The sequence below is a fragment of the Homo sapiens genome, chromosome 1 (assembly GCF_000001405.40).
Source record: "Homo sapiens chromosome 1, GRCh38.p14 Primary Assembly".
In the NCBI taxonomy this organism is placed as follows: Eukaryota; Metazoa; Chordata; class Mammalia; order Primates; family Hominidae; genus Homo; species Homo sapiens.
The window spans coordinates 58,520,009-58,540,747 of NC_000001.11; the positions used below are offsets into that span (position 1 = coordinate 58,520,009).

The 20,739-nt window shown below is 34.8% G+C and overlaps 2 protein-coding genes across 2 annotated transcripts in view; both read right to left on the minus strand.

Annotated features, from left to right (window-relative positions):
* The window catches only part of DAB1 (DAB adaptor protein 1), a 1,551,949-nt gene that overhangs the window by 1,525,231 nt on the left and 5,979 nt on the right, over positions 1-20,739 (minus strand). Inside the window, exon 2 of the mRNA NM_001379461.1 lies at positions 7,253-7,327. The gene's annotated coding sequence lies outside the window, so the exon portion shown is untranslated. The remainder of the gene's footprint in view (positions 1-7,252; positions 7,328-20,739) is intronic.
* The window catches only part of OMA1 (OMA1 zinc metallopeptidase), a 66,008-nt gene that overhangs the window by 39,290 nt on the left and 5,979 nt on the right, over positions 1-20,739 (minus strand). The window contains exons 2-7 of the mRNA NM_145243.5: positions 18,787-19,302; positions 16,505-16,733; positions 14,150-14,323; positions 13,945-14,052; positions 10,593-10,721; positions 7,253-7,327 (exon numbers count right to left, since the gene is read on the minus strand). Of these exons, the coding sequence (NP_660286.1) occupies positions 7,253-7,327; positions 10,593-10,721; positions 13,945-14,052; positions 14,150-14,323; positions 16,505-16,733; positions 18,787-19,286 (1,215 nt within the window). The 5' untranslated portion in view covers positions 19,287-19,302. The remainder of the gene's footprint in view (positions 1-7,252; positions 7,328-10,592; positions 10,722-13,944; positions 14,053-14,149; positions 14,324-16,504; positions 16,734-18,786; positions 19,303-20,739) is intronic.

Consider the following 20,739-nt stretch of genomic DNA (forward strand, 5'->3'; position numbering starts at 1 on the left):
ATTGCATGTTCTCACTCATAAGGGGGAGCTAAACATTGACTACACATGGACACAAAGATGGGAACAACAGACACTGGCAACTACCAGAGGGAAGGGGGAAGGAGGGGAGCAAGGGTTGAAAAACCACCTTTTGGGTACCATGCTCACTACCTCGGGGAGAGGATCATTTGTACACCAAATCTTAGCAACGTGCAATTTACCCACGTAACAGACCTGCACGTGTACCCTGGAACCTAAACGTTGAAAAAAATAAAAAATAAAAGAGCAAGCCACAGAATGAAAGAAAACACTTGCAAGACACATATCTGACAAAGAACTTGCACCTAGCACTTATGTGAAAAACTCCTACAACTCAAGAATAAGAACACAAACTTCCTTGCCCAATTTGAAAATGGGAAAAATATCTGAGAAGATAATTCACAAAGGAATATAAATGAAGTGCCAATAGACACATAAAAATGTTCCACATTATATAAATAATTACAAATAAGAAATGCAAATTAAACAAATAGACTAACTTTTCCCCAAAAAAGGGCAAAGATAAAAACAACAGCAATGTTCTGTTTACAAGGGCTACACACACAAGAACACAGGAGGTTTGAAAATCAGAATATTAAAGATTTACCATGCAAGCACTAACTGAAAGAAAGCTGAAATAACAATACTAAAAGGAAAAAGTGGACATTAGGCAAGAAGTATTACTAGAGACAGTGATTTTATTGCAAGAAAAGGACCAATCCACTAGGAAAATCTAACAATCTAACAAGTATGTATATTAAAGATACTTTTAAGATGTACACGGCAAAAATTAATAGCCCTAAAAGGAAAAAAGAAAAATCTACAACCATAATGAAATATTACCAAACCTCTCTTGATAACTACAAAAAAAAGGAAAAAAAATCAGCAAGAATATAGAAGATCTGAAACAACAAAATTGACACACTTGGCAAAACTGACATCCACAGAACACCACCCGCAATGGCAGGATCCACTTTCAAGTGCACGTCATTTTGACAAAATTGATCACATCCTGAGCCACAAAGCAAGACCCAACCCTTTTCAAAGGATTCCAGTCATTCAGTATATTATCCAATCAGAGTGTAACTAAGCTAGAAATCGAAAACAAAAGGTAACTTTAAAATCATCAAATGTTCAAAAACTAAGCAATATACTTCTAAATAACCCATGGGTCAAAGAAGAAACCACAGCGAAAACAAGAATACATTTTAAACTGAAGAAAAAATAACATATCAACCCTTGCAACATGACAAGTAAAGATGCTCTCAGAGGAAAATGTACGGCCTTAAATGTATGTACTAGAAAAAAAAAAGAGTTTAAAATAAATGATAGTAGTATTCATCTTAAGTTAGGGAAAGAACCACATATGAAACCCAAAAAATGAATGCAGAATAAAATAATGAAAAAAAATGGTAACTGACATAACAGAAAACAATTATATAATAGAGACAATAAGCAAACCCAAAAGATGGTTTTGAAAAGATTGATGAAAGTGATAAAATCTAGCAAAAAAAAGACAAGACAAAGAGCACCAATATTAACAAAGGGGACATTTAAAAGATACATGTAAAATAACAGGTATCCTTCAGACATTAAAATATAATAAGAGTATATTAAAACAACTTCATGCCAATGATTTTGAAAATTAAACAAAAATTCCTAGAAAAACTACAAAAACTGAAACAAGAAATAGAAAAATCTGAATAGTTCTATATCTATTAAAGAGACTGAATCCATAATTAAAGACAAACTCATGAAGAAATCTTCAGGCCCATATGGCTTTACCCAGGAATTCTCCAAACGTTTAAAAAATAAATATAGCTAATCTTACAAAAACTCTTCTGGAGAAGAGAAAATGAAGAACACTTCCCTGATCAATTTTATGAGGCCAGCATAACTTTGATTCCAAAACCTGACAGGACATTACAAGAAAAGAAAATTCTAGGCGACTATCTCCTTTGAACATAGGATAAACATTCTAAACTAAGCATTAAACCAATTCTAGCAATATATTAAGGGATAATTGACAAAATTAGGTATATTTCCCCAAAAATGCAACTTAACTTTAAAAAAAATTAATGTAATTTGCCCAATAACAGATTAAAGGAGAAAAATCATATAATCATCTCAATACAGGCAGAAAATGCAGGGGGAAGGAGAACATCAGGAAGAATAGCTAATGGATGCTGGGCTTAATACCTAGGTGATGAGTTGATCTGTGCAGCAAACCACTGTGACACATATTTATTAATGTAACAAACCTGCACATCTGCACATGTACCCTGGAACTTTAAAGTTGAAGAAAAAGTGCAGAAAATGCATTTGATAAAATTTAATATATATACATAATTTTTTTAAATCTTAGGATATTAGAAATGGAAGAGAAACTCTTTCATTTGATAAAAAAGTATCTATAAAAAGCTTACAACAAACATCATAATGGTGAAATACTGAATGCTTTCTTGCCCCTAAGATCAGGGAGATACAAAGTTGCCCATCACCAACTTTGTACTAAAGTTTTTGGCTATTGCAATAAAGCAAAAATTAAAAAGTACAGTTGACCCTTGAACAACATGGAGGTTAAGGGCACTGACCCCTCTGTGCAGTCAAAAATCCACATGTAACATTTGACTCCCCCAAAACCTAACTACTAATAGCCTACTGTTGACCTTGCCAGTAACACAGTAAATTAACATGTTTTGTATGTTATATGTATTATATACTGTATTCTTACAATAAAATAAGCTAGAGAAAGGAAAATGTTATTAAGAAAACCATAAGGAAGAGAAAATATATTTACTATTCATTAAGTGGAAGTGGATCATCATAAATGTCTCCATCCTTATCTTCACACTGAGTAGACTGAGAAGGAAGAGGAGAGTTGGTCTTGCAGTTCCAGGGGTGGCAGAGGTAGAACGGGAGACAGGAAAGGCAGGCATAATCAGTGTAACTTAATGGAGATACTTTGTAATTTCTGTTGTAAAATAAGTCAAAAGTAGTCTTGAATAATCAGAATCCTTCTGCTAGATTGTCTAATGTCAATTTGTTTTCTGGCACTACTATGTCTTTTCTACCTGGCACCATTTTGGAAGCACTCATCTCCATCAAGTCATCCACGGTTAATTCCCCTGATAAGGTGTTTCTATTAGCTCTTGAATTTCTCTAAGATCTGTATATTGAAACCCTTCACTCCCCACCTTTTTTGCCATATCCATAATCTTTTCATCATTTCCTTGACTGGCTCTGTGTGGTCACGCACAACATCTGGATAGTTTGCTTCATCAACAATTTATTATTTCAGGCTTGGTGGCTTTCATGGCTTTTTCTATAACAATGATGGAATCTTCAGTGGTGTAAACCTTACAGACTTTCATAATGTTCTATCGGGGTTCTCTTCAATAGCAGTAACAACCTTTCCCTAAAGTACCCTGTTGTACTGAGCCTTAAAGGTCCTTATGGCCCTCTGATCTGAGACTCAACTAGGAATGTTGTGTTTGGGGGCAAGTAGACCATTTGGACGCCTTCAGTGTTGAACTCATGGGGTTCCAGGTGACCAGAGGAATTGAGAATGTAAAAAGAACTGGCAGTCCTGGCCGGGCGCAGTGGCTCACACCTGTAATCCCAGCACTTTGGGAGGCCAAGGAGGGCGGATCACGAGGTCAGGAGATCGAGACCATCCTGGCTAACACGGTGAAACCCCATCTCTACTAAAAACACAAAAAATTAGCCGGGCATGGTGGTGGGTGCCTGTAATTCCAGCTACTCGGGAGGCTGAGGCAGGAGAATGGTGTGAAGCTGGGAGGCAGAGCTTGCAGTGAGCCGAGATCACACCACTGCACTCCAGCCTGGGTGACAGAGCGAGACTCCATCTCAAAAAAAGAAAAAAAGAACTGGCAGCCTTTACTGGCAAGATAATTCTTAACTTTAGGAACAAAGCATGGATGGAACCAATCCAGAAAAAGCGTTCTCATTGTGTAGCAGGCCTTTTTGCTTTACAACCAAAAGACTGGCAGCTGGTATTATCTTTTTCCTTAGAGGCTCAGGGGTTACCAGCTTTATAGATAAGGAAAGTACTTACAAATCCAACTCCATTTCCGCAAAACAGTAGAGTTAGCATATCCCTTCTGCCTTAAATCTTGATGCTCATTAATAAATGTCCTTTATGGCATTATCTTTTTTCCAGAATAGCACACTTTCATCTGCATTAAAAACCTGTTCCGGCAGCTATTCTTTCTCCTTAACGATTTTCTTAAAGCATCTGGGAATGCATCTGCTGCCTCTTGGTCAGCAGAAGCTGCTTCTCCTGTTATCTTGACATTTTTAAGCCAAATCTCTAAAACTATCAAACCATCCTTCGCTGGCATTAAATTCTCCAGCTTTAGATCTTTCATCTTCCTTTTAAGTTGTAATATAATGACTTTGCTTTTTCTTGAATCATATTAGAGTCTATAGATAGGCCTTTCTTATGGCAATCCTGCACCCACATAAAAGGTGCATCTTCTATACAAGATAAAAGTCTTTTGCAAAAAGTGCAAGGTTTTCATGCTTGCTGGTAGAGTTGCAGCTATGACTTCACAAATTTTCTTTTCCTTTTTTCAACGGTCCTTATTCTGGATTCGTTTATGTTGAAATGGCAGGCAACCACAGCTGCAGACCTCAATCTACAGTATATATCAAGCAACTCAACTTTTTCTTGTAATATCATGAGTTTACTTCCTGGGAACATTTCCAGTATCACTAGCAGCAACTCATATGGGTCTCATGGTATTACTCAAGGTGTTTACAGTATTGCACTAAACACAATGAAAAATATGCAAGAACTGCAAGAGACCATTTACTAAGATACTCAATTTACTGGAGAGAAAGCTGCTCACATGGAGATGATTAGTGTCTTCTGGTGTTTTAAGTAGATATTCACAATATTTGAGATCACTGCATTAGCAACAGGAAGTGAATACAAAACTATAAGAGTAGTACCATAGGTACCACAGTTAATTCTATGCAGTTATGATTTAATACTGCATCTTTCTGTTTGTTTACATTTCTCTCAACTGCAAATGGCACCATGTATGGTCTGTGTAGGCACACGTTTTGATAAATTTTCATAACCGATTTGTGTTTTATGGTAAAAAATTATAAAAGACTAATATCTACATGTATTTTATGCATTCATGACATATCCTTTTCTTAATTTTTTCAATATTTCTAAGCTACATGGTTCACCTGTGAGTTTTTTCAAATTGTTGCACATTTCCAAAAAACCTTCCAATATATTTATTGAAAAAAATCCTATGTATAAGTGGATCTACACAGCTCAAAAACATGCTGTTCAAGAGTCAACTGTATACAGATTGGAAAGGAAGAAATAAAGGTTGCTGGGTACAAGGTCAATTATAAAATCAATTGTATTTTTATATACAAGCAATTTACTTTAAAAATGACACTATTTATCATGACATCAAACACTTAGCAATAAATCTAACAAAAGATGTGTAATTCCTACATACAAAAAAATTTCAAAACATCGAGAAAAATTAAACATCTAAACAAACTGGAAAATATATCATATTTATGGATGGGAAGAATCAATACTACAGACACTAGTCAAGTGTCCCCAAATTCATGTATAAATGCAATGCAATTCCAATCAAAACCCCATGTGTTTTTCTATGTATGTATAATTTAATAAGCTATTTCTAAAATGTATATAGAAATGCAAAGATCCAAGAAGAGTCAAATCAATTCTGCAGAACAACACTGGAGGACAGAAGCTTCAGGTATCAACACTTACTACAAAGTTATAGTGATAATATGGTACTGGCTGAAACATAAACAAGCCAATGGAACAGAATAGTGTGTCTAGAAAGAGACCCCAGATATACTCCCACCTTTATGACAAAGAGACACTGAAGTCTGGTGAAAAAAAGGTGACTTTTTTCCATAAACAGTGCTGAGTCTATTAGCTATCCATAGGGGAAAAAAAAGATGTTGCCCTCTTCCTCATATTATATATTTTAAAAATAGTAAAGTTTATTAGAAATAAAGCAGGAATAACTTACTGAGATAAACAAAGATTTCCTAACCAGAACACAGAACACACTTAACATATAGGGAAAATCTGACAGACTGGAGTACATGAAAATTAGGAAATTCTTAATACAGCCAATCTGTGGCCCCCTTATGTGGGAACTTCTTAGTGCACGCAGTCTGATAATTCACTTAATCACATTTATTTAACATTCAAAGAACTGATTTTGCTTTTGTGAAGGAGTAATACCTTGATTTATGAAATTAAATCCATAAAACTTATGAGAGGTTCAAATAAAATGATTAATAGTTTTAATAACTACCAGAAACATAACAAAGGATCAATTAAAACTTGAATTTAATATGTGAAGTGGCATTGCTTTCACTCATTTTTTTAAAATGCAGTTTTACTTCTAATCTTAAATGCTACTAATAACACTCAGTTATCACAGGTGATTAAAAATAGCTGCCAGGTGCCCTGTTAAGTAGACAGGAACAAAGTCAACTTAAATAAAAGTAAAGGCCCAGAGCTGCTCTCTATGGCTAGCAAAAAAAAAAAAAAAAAGCCATCTGCTACAACAAAAATAACCTAAATGTCTGTTCGTCTACTGTTTATTTAAATGGTAGAAAATCAGTTTGCTTAGCCAAGATCATAGCTACAACAGGATCAACCTATCTTCAAGTGGGGGAAAACAACTACCTATCAACCTGTTTACTCAAAAAGCCTCCTTAGATCAGAGAAGCAAGGGGTAAAATATTGGAGTACTGGAGTAAAATAAAGAGATAGCATTAGCTTTCCAGAGGGACAAATGTTAAAAGGCCAGAGGGGATGACACATTACATAACCAAATGTTTTAAAATTTCAATTTGTATGTTTCATGTCTATGATCAAAAAATTTATACACGCAAAAAATTATTTCCAATCAAGAACTGACTTTCTTTTAATAGAACCTGATAATTACTATAATCTTATGGATTCTGTCTAAGGCATAATACAGCTTCAAATATAGAAGGGAATTGAGACTCTTCAGTTATACATTCTTTCAAGGTCCATAATCTTCAAATTTCTAGATTAACAGAAATTACATAAAGGGCTAATACAGTCCAACTCTCATTCTCTGCTTATGCCAAGCCTCATTAAAATAACACACGTTTATCTTTCAGCCTGGGAAGGGCATTATGTATTCTCAACTACTAAACACTTTACCTTTGCAGCAAGCAGTAGTCCAATTTTGTCAGCTTCGGCCTCCAATTTTCTGCTGTATGGTCTATTAAACATATACTAAGAAGAAATGACAGAAAAGCTCCATTAAGACAATTTATTTCACGAAAAAAGGAGTAACACAGAGAGATTTTTAAAAAACAGTTTCATGGAGTATCTAGGATAAAATTCCTATACTGTCTACTAACATTAAAATAACTCCATGATATAAAATATAAACACAGCCTTTATTTCCCTGATTAGAAATACTTTAAAAAATGATAAGGATATAAGTCATGCCTATAAATTTCTTGACAGTCTGTAGTATAAGGAATTTACTTCTATTTTTCCAATTATAGTCTCCACCTACTGAGTACAGGATTCACTAAGAAAGCTTATTGATGAAGGCTTTTTAATATGGTCAAGGAATATTTTGACCTTGAGTTTTAAAAGAAAATCAAGAAAACGTAGGCATATAATATCCAATGACACTACTAGACAATTTATTTCAGTAAAAAAATTAACCATATAGCAGAATGCTCTTTCTTTGATAAATTATCTTAATTTCCTTTTTCTTTTCTAAGTATTGATTAGTTGGGAAAATGAAATTTTCTTCTGACTTCAATAAAAAACACACATAGATACAGTAACTTTAATTTTCCTAATTACTTGTATTTATGTGAATGCTTTCCAGTTAAATTCTAATTTTCAGTAAGTACTAAAACTTTGTAGGAGATGAATCAATAGGCAGGACTTTTGAGAAAAGAGCTATTAATTGGGGAAGCAATCTTTCAAAGGTAGCCACATGTCTGTGATGGCCTGAAATAATATAATAAATCTGATATACAGTATGTGACCATTACAAATGACTTCCTTCCTTTTCAATCAGTCTGTTTTAGGTCAATGATGTATATCATATAATGCCTTCACTCCCCATGAGCAGGCTGCATGTGCCCCCGTCAAGTCTATTGATAACATAAGGATTTAAAACTGTGGCTTTAAAAAGAGAGAAACTTAAGTTCAAGTCCAAATACTGTTAACTTATTGTTAACCCTGAGCTAATTGTTTAACCCTGCTAAACCCAGTAGTATCATATGTAAAATGAAGCTAGTAACAGTTCCAAGCTCACAGAGCTGCAGAGGGGATTAAATGAACAAAAATAACAGCTCATATTTATTGAGCCCTGATTTGTGCCAGGTACTGTGCTAAGTGCTTTAAATTAATGATTCTAAACCTAGTGTGATTTTGTCCTCCAGGGACATTTACAAATGTTTGGAAATATTTATTACTGTCATAACTGAGAGGAGGGAGAGCTACTGACATCTAGGGAATGGGGGTCAGAAATGCTACTAAACATCCTACAGTGCACAGGACAACTCCCCCACAACAAAGAATTATCCAGTCCAAAGTGTGAGTAGTGCTGAGATTGAGAAATCCTGCTTTAAATGTGTCATTCGGTCCTCACAACAGATGAACCTCAGCAATTCCCACACCCTAATGACTTCACTATCAACATTCCTCTCTGCTCTCCAATCACAGTGAGCAACTTTCTAGAGAGAAACATCTCCTCGTCACCAAAATTATTGAGGGGCCTTGATTTAGGAAAAAATAATTCAAATAGAATCATTCCTACTTTATTTTCATTGACGAATTACAGTGAAGTGGCAGAATTTATCAAGTATTTCAAGAAAGAAATAGATAAATGTTATCTTTCTTATGACCAACTGTGCTGATTCCATTATAAAAAAAAGCAATCTATAGATAGATCAGGAAAATAACCACATTAATTCTTTTAATTTCCTGGCGGGTCAGTGACAGAAACAAAATTCAAAATATGAGATCCTACAACCTAAGGAATAACCAATCTTTTATTTTCTCTTTAAGAACCTTTACTTCAATATAAATGAAGCCAAATGACATGTTAATACTGAATAATAGACTTAGTTATCCAATCTCAAAAACAATTTGTCTCATAGAATTTTGCACATTAGATTTAAACAGCACCCAGATGGCACTCTGATGGGAACTCCACAAATCATTAAATAAACAAATAACAGATTGTTCCTAAATAACCAAACCTCCTGGGACAAGAGGAAATATTCAAAGAAAGATGTAAAACAAAAAAATTATGGTTAACAAAGTAGTTATAAAGATTGCAAGACCTACTTTCAGTATTACAGTGTTTTGGACAAAATGAGGCACTCAATACATTTTTGAGATGATTATTATACATAAGCACTAAAAACAAAAGTTAACAAACACCTAGTAAGACTTTCCTTTCAGCATTTTCAAAGCAATGATATTTTAACAGAGTGAAAAGCAAGGAAGGATGGCAAAGTAGCTTTAGCCAATTCTGTGCCCATTAAAGTTCAGAGGTTTTAACAGTGCCGCATTAAAACCCAAATACAGTTGGCTCTCTATATCTGTGGATTATGCACCTGGTAGATTCAACCAATTTGGATAGAAAATATCTACGAAAAAACAATTTAAAAAACTACAACTTAAAAATATATATAGTAAAATAACTATTTACATAGCATTTACATTGAATTACAAGTAATCTAGAGATGATTTAAAGTATATGAGAGGATGTGCATAGTTACATGCAAACACCATGCTTTTATTTTTATTTTTATTTTTTTTTGAGATGTAGTCTCACTCTGTCGCCCAGGCTGGAGTGCAGTGGCGCAATCTCGGCTCACAGCAAGCTCTGCCTCCTGGGTTCACGCCATTCTCCTGCCTCAGCCTCCCAAGTAGCTGAGACTACAGGCGCCCGCCACAACGCCAGGCTAATTTTTTTGTATTTTTAGTAGAGACAGGGTTTCACCACGTTAGCCAGGATGGTCTCAATCTCCTGACTTCGTGATCCACCCACCTTGGCCTCCCAAAGTGCTGAGATTACAGGCATGAGCCACGGCGCCCGGCCAATACCATGCCATTTTTTATCAAGGACTTGAGCATACTCAGATTTTGGTATCCACAAGAAGTCCTGTATACCAAGGGACAGCTGAATTTGGGAGTCATTCAGTTACTACGAAAGGAAGGGTCAGTGGCTGGGTTTTCTCTCTGTAAAACCAATAAATATATTTTCAAAAATTTTATTAGCCAAAAGTTGCCAAGCCCTTCTAACTCTCCATACCCATCATTTGAGAGATGTAGTATTCCTTAATTTAAATATTCATATATAAGAATATCCCCTAAAAACGAGAAAACATAAGACACTAAAAATTCGTACCCATATTTCATAGTAAAATGTAAAAACATCTCTGGATTTGCTGCTTTACAGTAGTATTAAAATATCTTCACCAGAGGCTATGATCAATTCAAGTTATTGTCTCAGACTTACCTCCTGCAATTTAGACTGTATCCACTGGCACAAAAGTGCCAAGCTATCTCGAGGACAAATGGCCCAAATCATTGTGAGGAAAATCATACCTAGGAAATCCAACAAATGAACCATGCCAGCCTTTTCTGCCTAAGAATAATCAAAATAATAAAAACTACATTTTATACATTGAGACAGTATATGCTTACATTTTCTAGTTCATCATGTGTTACAATTACCTGACCTTCTCCACCTAAGACTGAGAGTTCTCTTTTTCTTCTTTTGCTTATTCTTTCCGGGTCTGTTTTTCCCTTCCTTGGTTTATCTACTTATATACCTATTCATTCATTTAACTAGTATCTACTAAGCCACTTACTATTAGTCAGAGGATATAAACCTACAATTTCTTATATTAACAGGCATAATAATCTTGTGAAATAGCTACAATTATCCCTACATTTATAGATAATGAAACTGAGATAGAGAGAGGTTAAGAGTTGCCCAGATTTGCACAGCTATTACTAAAAGGACCAGAAATCAAACCCGGTCAGTTTTAGTTTTTAATATAGTTGCATCATTTTAAAAAATCAAGTAAATGTTTTATTTTACTAATATTTTTGGATAAAGACTAAACACTACCTAACATATGAAGCACTTAAAACAAGAAAAAATTCAGAAAAAGACTGGAAGTTTATTTTAAATAAAAGTATTCTGATCTTCAAGACCTAATATATGAAATATTATTCATTTATACAAGTTTGTAAATTTGTAAGTCTAGTATTTATCATGAAAGAATCAGGTTCTATGAATTTTTGTATTTACTTATATCAGTTACCAAAAAAGATTTTTCATAAAATAGTTGTTTTGAGTAGTAATATCTAAGTTTAATGAACTAGATTGTTCATGGTTTGCCATTAAAGGTGATTAGTAAATGTTAATGTTGTAATGCTGAAACTGATAAAATAGCAGTCATTACTTGAATGTATGAAAAATGACTGAAAACTAAAAACTGACTTAGAATATTGTCCCTTAACAAATATTGTACCCTCACAAAACATACTTTACCTCCTTATATTTGCCTCATTACTTTGCCTCAAAACACAAATGTGTGTTTTGAAAAACAATTATGGATTTATCTTTTTTTTTTTGAGACAGAGTCTTGCCCTGTTGCCCAAGCTGGAGTGCAGTGGCGAGGTCTCGACTCACTGCAACCTCCGCCTCCAGGTTCAAATGTTTCTCCTGCCTCAGCCTCCCGAGTACCTGTGATTACAGGTACCCACCACCATGCTCAGCTATTTTTTGTATTTTTAGCAGAGATGGAGTTTCACCATGTTGGCCAGGCTGGTCTTGAACTCCTGACCTCATGATCCACCCACCTCAGCCTCCCAAAGTGCTGGGATTACAGGGGTGAGCCACTGTGCCCAGCCCAATTATGAAATTATTTTAACATGAAAAAGTGAAACTCAAAATAAGGAAGTTGTTATAGAAGAGAAAGCCCTTGTTATTAAAGAATATAATTGCTATTATACAGTCTTAGAAAACTGGAAATACACACACAAAAACCTGTATTTGTAGAATAAAGAAAACATAAACGCCTAGATAAAATCAAAACTGAGACTCCCAAAAGAGAAAATATTGTGCTGACAATGTTTAAGATCTCTGCAAAAACATATTAATAACTATGTTCTATTTTTAAGGCTGCTGTTTGCTTTTTACACCTCATCTACTACTGTTCTTGCACTGATAGAGATGACAATACACTGAATATAAGGCACTGAACTAGATGCCTAAAAAACAAATGTACTGAATAGTAACACCTTTCAAATGCTAAAATGGCCAAAACTGATTTTGCAGTTGTGAAGCCATTACTTGAAAGATATTAGAGTGCATATAATAACACTGCTTAGACGTATTCTTGTGTATATTTGTTTAAGAAAAAAAGATTTTTTTTCTTACTTTTTTGTTTGAGACAGTGTCTCACTCTGTCACCCAGGCTAGAGTGCAGTGGTGCGATCATGGCTCACTGTAGCCTTGATCTCCCAGGCTCAAGCAATCCTCCTGCCTCAGGCTCCAGAACAGCTGGAACTACAGGTGTGAGCCACCATGCTCAGCTAATTTTTAAAATTTTTCTGTACAGACTGAGTCTATGTTGCCGAGGCCAGTCTCAAACTCCTGGGCTCAAGCAATACTCCTGCCTCAGCCTCTCAAAGTGCTGGGATTACAGGTATAAGCCACTGCACCCAGTCAAGAAAAATGTTTTTAAAATCTTCCTGTAACTCAAAAGAAATCAAGGAGATAATTACTTTCAGTGTTTCAGAAAAACAATTTAGCCCATCTCATCTTATTAATAGTCTAAGGAACAGGTAGAATTTGAGATTACTCTTAGAAGGATTAGAATCATTATCATTTCCATTTGAAGTTAATGTTACTTGTATTTCTGATTTAGCATTTCAGTCACTTCACTATGTACCTTTGCGTTTACAATTTAAAAAATACTTTCTCTAATGTAGACAAAAGAGCCATTTATATTTTTAAATGAATAACAATTTAAAAAATGTGTGAAACAGATGTGTTATTTTTCCTGGACTTATATCAAGATGAACAGACATGTATTCACAGGAGCATACATCAACTTGAATTCTATGATCTATAAGAAAAGCGCTGCTAAAAACCAGGTAACTGTAGTGAAAGGAAGAAACACTGGACTAACATACAGAAGACCCACGTTAAAGTCCCAGTTCGGTTACTTTGTCAGGTTAGTCATGTTACTGTTTTTCTAAACATTAGTTTTCTCTTATATAAAATAGTAATAATAAATACATACCTCATTGGGTATTAAAATTATGAATGGGAAGCCACATATACTAAAAAGCTCAGTAAACTGTAAAATGGCAAGGTATTGTTATTACTCTGTATTAATTACACATGACACATCATTCTAGACATTTTCAAAGATGCTCCAAGCTATCCTCTGAGAATGAATAAAAAAGAAAGATGATTTACCCACTTAAATAGTAATATCACTTCCCTACAATTAATTTTCTGACTAGATTACAAGTATATTAATAATTATAGAAAGTTTAAAATTTAATTTGAAATAATTAGGGGTTGAGAATAATTACGTTTTAGCAAAAGAGACAGGTGATAAAAATAGTATTTAAGAAAAATATTATTCAGTATCAAATACTAAAGACCATAAAAATTCTCAAAATTAGCCAATCACGTTTTTTTCAGGTAGCAGATTAAGGCAATTACCCAAAACTAAAAGTCTATCATTTTTAAAAAACCTGAAAAAAATCAGTTCTTTAAAAGATTTAACTTGTTAACTTCAAAGCAGTTTTTCCAAACCTGAACATTCATTTTAGGTACTTACAGCATGCCCAAGTACTGCATGTGCTATTTCATGGCCCAGAAGGAAAGAAAGTTGATGAATATCGGTTACACTATTTAAAAATCCAGTGAAAACAAACATTTGTCCATTCTGCACCACAAAGAAAATAATGTAAGCAATTAGAACATCATAAAAAATAAGGACAATAAATTTAACAATTACAATGCGTTTGAGAACATTTACTTACTGGAAGCACGAAGGCATTAATAATTGGGGAATCAACCACATGAATAACCCAATTGATCTGAGAGATCCCTGGAACATCTTTATTGCATTCAATTAGATGACAAAGCACTTCTTTAACAGCCAGGTATCGGGCATCTTTCTCAGTTAGCATATCATTTTTAAATTCTTCCATCCACTGAAAGATTAAAAATTACTTCTTATTTTAAAAGAGCACTACAAAATGCTTACTCTGCTTCATGGAAAGTTATATGGCTACTTATTATTGAACATTTTAAGTTTTAATTATATAAAAATCTGCATATATTAAGCACTGAAATTTCTCAAATCTGAATTATTCATGCAAAGACAATGTGGTTTCTTACAAAGGAATAAATTCTAATACTAAGTTTTTTTATGAATAGATTGACATCAAAATTTCATTCTTTTCGATTAAACTACAAACGAATACTTAAGTATTATTTCTACTTTCCTAAACATTTTAGAAAACACTGCCTAGGCCAGGGCAAGATGGCTCACGCCTGTAATCCCAGAACTAGGGGAGGCCAAGGCAGGAGGATCACCTCAGCTCAGAAGTTCAAGACCAGCCTGGGCAACATGGTGAAACCCCGTCTCTACCGAAAACACAAAAAATTAGCCAGGCGTGGTGGCATGCACCTGTGTTCCCAGCTACATGGGAGGCTGAAGTGGGAGGATCGCTTGAGTCTAGGAGGTGGAGGTTGCAGTGAGCTGAGATCTCGCCACTGCACTCCAACACCAACCTGGGTGACAGAGGGAGATCCCATCTCAAAAAGAAAAGAAAAGGAGAGCCTGGAGAACTTAAGATTTCATCTAAGTAAAATACAAAAGAAAATTAAATTCACAATGCATTGAACAGAAAAACACCCTATACCTAATAAGAAAGTTAAACTACCAAAATAGACATTTCATTAATTTTAAGGTGTTTTACTCACAGATTGAAAGGAAATTACTGAATTCTCAGAACTAATGAGCATTATCACTGTCTCTAAAAGATGCTGATTAAGACTAGCCACCACAGAAGATACTTTTTCTGAAGTTATATTCATGAGAGCTCTTTCAAGTGTACTGAGAAAATTAAAAATGTTCTGAAATATTACTTTAACTTTCATAAAGTGTATGCTTTTTTTCACTTAAGAATCAACAAGCGGCTGGGCATGGTGGCTCATGCCTGTAATCCCAGCACTTTAGGAGGTGGGCAGATCACGAGGTCAGGAGATCAAGACCATCCTGGCCAACACGGATGAAACCCCATCTCTACTAAAAATACAAAAATTGGCCAGGCGTGGTGGCGCACGCCTGTAGTCCCAGCTACTCGGGAGGCTGAGGCAGGAGAATAATTTGAACCTGTAAGGTGGAGGTTGCAGTGAGCCAAGATGGCACCACTGCAGTACAGCCTGGGTGACAGAGCAAGTCTCTGTCTCAAAAAAAAAAAAAAAAAAAAGATTCAGCCATGCCAAAGCTGTCAAGTGAGGCTACTGGACATGAATTCGAAAAATATTAATTGAGCCACAGGGCACATAACATGTGTATGTGCTATGAACTGGAGAGAAAATGACCTCTGTCCCTAAGAAACTCACTAGGGTACAAAATGTTTAACTACCTGAGTTACTATACTTTCCAAAGAGGTAAGACTTCTAAATTATAACTTAAATTTGGATTCAAAAAATATAATAAATTGCTAAAACTGATGTTTGGGAAAAAAATCTTATATTACTTGATTTTCAAGGTATAAGAATTCTGACTATAAATCTATTTATTCAATAAATATATACTAAGCTCTACTCTTACATACTGTGTTAGTATTTAAAACCATAAACAAAACAGGTAAGATCCCTGCCCCCATGAAGCTTAGTCTAACAAGAAAGACAATCAAAAAAATAATTATGCAAATAATTATGTTACTCTCATGAGTGCTTTGAAGGAAAAGTACAGTATGCAGAGAAAAAAAGCCTAGGAGACCTAACCCCAGTAAAGCCAAGCAATGGGCGCAACTACAAATGAGCTGGTTCATAATTCAGTCGGTATGAAGGATACCTCCTAGGGCCTGATCCAGTCACCCTGCCTAACCCAGTCTGGATAATCAAGGAAGGTTTTCCTGAGAAAAGTGACATTTAAGGTGAAATGTGCTGAGCAGGAGTTAGCTGGGTGAATGCTAGGAAAAGCAATGTAGGCAGTAGGAATACTAAGTGTGAAAGGTCTGAGGCCTTCGGGAAAAAAAAATGCTAATTTCATATCAAAGACTAAAATTAAAAAACAACATATCTTTCACATTTAAGATACTTTCCTACTTTGAGTGTTATATTAAGCAGTCTAATTAAAAACAACTCTTACTACTTACTGCTTCATATTCCAGTTCCGATAAAAGTCTGAACTGTTCTTTCCCCAATAATAGTAGCTTGCTCCTTCCTGTGATTGGACTTACTTCCAGGTGAGTAAAATAAAACACCACAAAGAGCAATCCAAAACTACTCAAACCAAGGAATAGCTTCCATTTATTCTTCCTTATATTTTCTTTAACTACTTCCTTCTTGTTAGGAGGAAGTGCCTGCCACCATTTCCTTATGCCCCTAAAGCAAAAAGAAAAATTCAAAGTTCTGAAAATCATTCCAGCACATATCACTAAAGCTCAAATGCATACACTAGAATTTTACGTCCTCAAATACCTGAATTTGTATGATGTATTTCGCTGAATACATCGCTTTTCCAATTAATAAAATTCTTAGCTAAATGATGAAAAAATAATCAATGATGTAAAGTTACAGTTAAAAAATTCTAATACTCATCGAAATTTTCTTCTTCAGCTATTTTAAGGATAAACACTAAATGAGATGCTAGTTTACTATAACTACCACTGGTTAATATTTATTACTATCTAGTACATGCAAAATTCTCTCTCTCTCTCTCTCTCTCTGTATATATATATATACCATCTCATTTAATCTTCATAATAACCCTGTTACAGAAGATAAAATTGTTAGGTAACTTGTCCATGGCCACTGAGGTAATAAAAGGAAAACCAAGCAATGAAGGCAATGACATTCCAGAGTCTGACCACTTAGCCACTTAATAGGGATAAATGCCTAAATAATTATGTAAGAGGTTACAGTACAATAAATCTATACCTGGAACCACTACTTTTCCCACTGCTCCTCAGACCTCCAACACAATTTGCCAGTGATTCCACAAGGTACAAGGGAAACTGCCTCAGCATTCATTTTGGAAATAAATAGTGCTCAGTAGCAGAAACTCCACTATCCTCTTTACAACGTGAAAAAGGAGAGATAACAAGATCCTAGGTATTCATAAGAAAGTGGGAGATTTTATAGATAACATCTGAGAAGGTCCAATTTCTACCAGGCAACAATACTCTCTGCCACTTAGCAGTGTTCAGAAACATTTTGACAACAAGCAATGTTTTCAATACTGGGACAAAAATTTTCCTTATGAGTTGATCTGTAAAATCACAACAAAAATTTACCATATATACATCATTCTCTTGACAAAAATTTATTTTACAAATTCTTAAAGTTCTCTTTGTGAAGTGACACACCCCAATGCCTTTACACAAAGTGTGTCCATTTAAAGGGACATAAATCAAACTATCGAGTATACTTATTTCCTATTTAAAACTTTACATGACATTATCCTTTATTTAAAATGTATGAAAGACATATTCTAAATGAAAAATTTTAGGTGATCAACAATAGTAACAAAAACAAGAAAGTTACAAATAAATAATTTAAAAGGATGAGGACATAGCAGAAATCAGAAAGAGCATCCGAAGAACCTGGGATGAGCGTATTACTTCAACCAATAGTCAATACAGCTGTATCGCTTTTGGGTGCCAACACCAAATCATGAAAAACACAATAAGTTACAAATAGAAGTTCTTGGTTTTTGATCAAAAGCAAACTGGTTTGGTTCATGTGGTAGTAAGAAGGCTAGAAGGGACTTCACAGTCATCAAACACAAGAAAGCTTTATGAAGAAACAGTGATTAGCTTTCTTCCATCTTCATAAAACAAACAAGAGAAAAAGGGTTAAAGCACTACAAGCTGTGAAAATATTATTATAAAGGATCACCAAGGAAAAAAACAAAGATTTGTTGGGAACAGAATAGAAAGAAAAGAAGCATTAATGACTTAAGAGTTAACTAGGAGTGAGCCCACCCTTATATAAGCAAAGTTCCTCAATTTTATGATTTGCTGCCTTAAATTCCACAAATTAAAAAGAAATGTTTGTAAGTACTCTTCTTATACATAAGTGATAACCAGCACTTCTGATCCATATATCCTAAGATTTTGTAGTCATAAATATAAGATTTTTTTAATGCCTATACAAAATGTAAGAATAACTTTTTAAAGAGATATTTCTATACCATAAATTAGTATGCAGGAAATTGTTTCAAGATTATTAAATCATACAGAACAAAATTGGGCAGGACCTACTGTTTAGAAACTTCACTTTGAGCTAAATGGGGGGAGACAGGGGATCTGGCAAGGTTTCTTTAAAAGTACAGTTTTATAAATAAAAAAATTAATTTCTAAAAGTTAATACGTTAGCACAAAATATTAATGCAAAAAGTTAATATAAAAGTTTTTATTCTAAAAAAGCATTTTACCTGCCTACAATGATTGCAAATAACTTCTGTACTGGTTTAAGAATCATCAACAAGAGAGGAACCGGAGCAGCTTGAAACCGTGGAGAAGTATGGAAATTCCTAATAGCTCTTATGGAAGCAGGGCTTAGAGGATGCAATACTGACAGACTAGGGACTGCTGTAACTTCTTTTATTAGCAGCTGTCTTGAAAAAGCATCATTCCATACAGTACATTTGCTGGTAATCCTCCAAATTTCCTTACTTTTGGTACTTGAGAGGCCTCCTGTTCTTTTGTTGTTAAAAGTACTATAAAAATGAAAGTTTCCAGGCAGAAAACTCCACCTGTCACACTGATTTACTCCCAGTCCCTGATACTTATTTACTATATGGTTAACTTGTACTTGATGACAGCCCCGTGAGGTGGATGCTAATGTGTTACATTTTCTCCAGTTAGACAGTGAATTAAATCGGAAGAAAACATGGTTTCTAGCAGCAGACTGCAATCCACAGATGAAGCTCATTTTTTCACTTGACTACCTGAAACAAAAAAAAAACTATAAATATCTGTGGAAAATATTTACTTACCAAACTGGGACTATAACACTTATTAAATAGGCGTGTCAGTTGTTCTTCTAACACATCTCAGGCTAAATTACCTTGGGTTTCAACTCATCACCCCTAGAGCAACGCCTTTCAGCAAGATAAACCAGAGTATATATACCACGATATTTACTATGCAACGTTTACTTTAGAAGCTTGAATTTTTTTCATTTCATTTTTAATTTTTAGTTAGGGAAGAGCCATTTGTATTTTAATGGCAAATGATTTGAGCAATAAAGTGGATTAGATAAAAACAACAGTAAAACTTTATCAGTTTGCAATAACTGGAAGGAAGCATGTGATACAGAATAGTAAAATCTAACTTATAAAATGCACTGGACATTACGCAATGAAGAACAGTGATCCCTAACAGATGGGAAACAGAGCCCTACAACTGTCCTAGCTTATTGCCTGGAGAGTGCTTCCAGGCCACAATGCAGACAGGGTAAACCTAGGTGGAGCCCAGTGGTTCCCCTAAATCGAAGAGATAAAGCTGGGAGGTCAAGTAAACCAAGGTTGCTAGAGCTCACAGGACAGAGGACAAGAGAAGACAAGAGCTGCACAGAGAAATAACTCTAGAGTTCTGCAGAGAATCCCCCTCCCATATTCAGCTGAGTCCTGTCTGGGCATATGTGTAAGAAAATTCCCTGGAGCTGGGAAAGGGCCACCTGAAAAGATTGCAGGGAATAATATACAGGGCTCACACAGGGCATGGTATACTGCCTATCCCCTCCCCACCATTCAAAGTGGAAAACCTTATCATTCGTGGGTAGAGTACTCAGAAGGGTTTTGCCTCAACATTAGAGAAAGATTAGTCTGAGACCGAAAGCTGCTCTGGCCCCACCTAACAAATATTAAAAGCAACCCCCAAAAAGATTAAATGCTTCCAAGCAACAACTGCATCCCAGGAAAAAAAAAAAATCTAAACAGGTATTAGGACACAAAACTATTTAACACTTAACAAGGTGCAATTTATAATTAAAAATCACCAAGCATGCAAGCAGCAAGATATGTGATCCACAATTAGAAGAAATATCAATCAGTGGAAACTAACTCCTAAATAAACAAATAACAGCATTAGTAGATAAGGATATTAGTTATTGTAACTATACTGCACATGTTTAAGAAGCTAAAGGAAAATATGAGCATGTTATGTAGAGATATGTAATATATTTCTTTAAAAGACCTAAACTTTTAGACAAGAAAACTGTAAGAACTAAGATGAAAAACATACTAGATGAGACTAACAGCAGATTAACATTGTAGAAATAAAGATTTGTGACTTTGAAGACGTATCAATAGAAACCATCTAAAATGAAATACAGAGAAAAAATACAATAATAAAAAAAGGCACAGGGCATCAATGAGGTATGC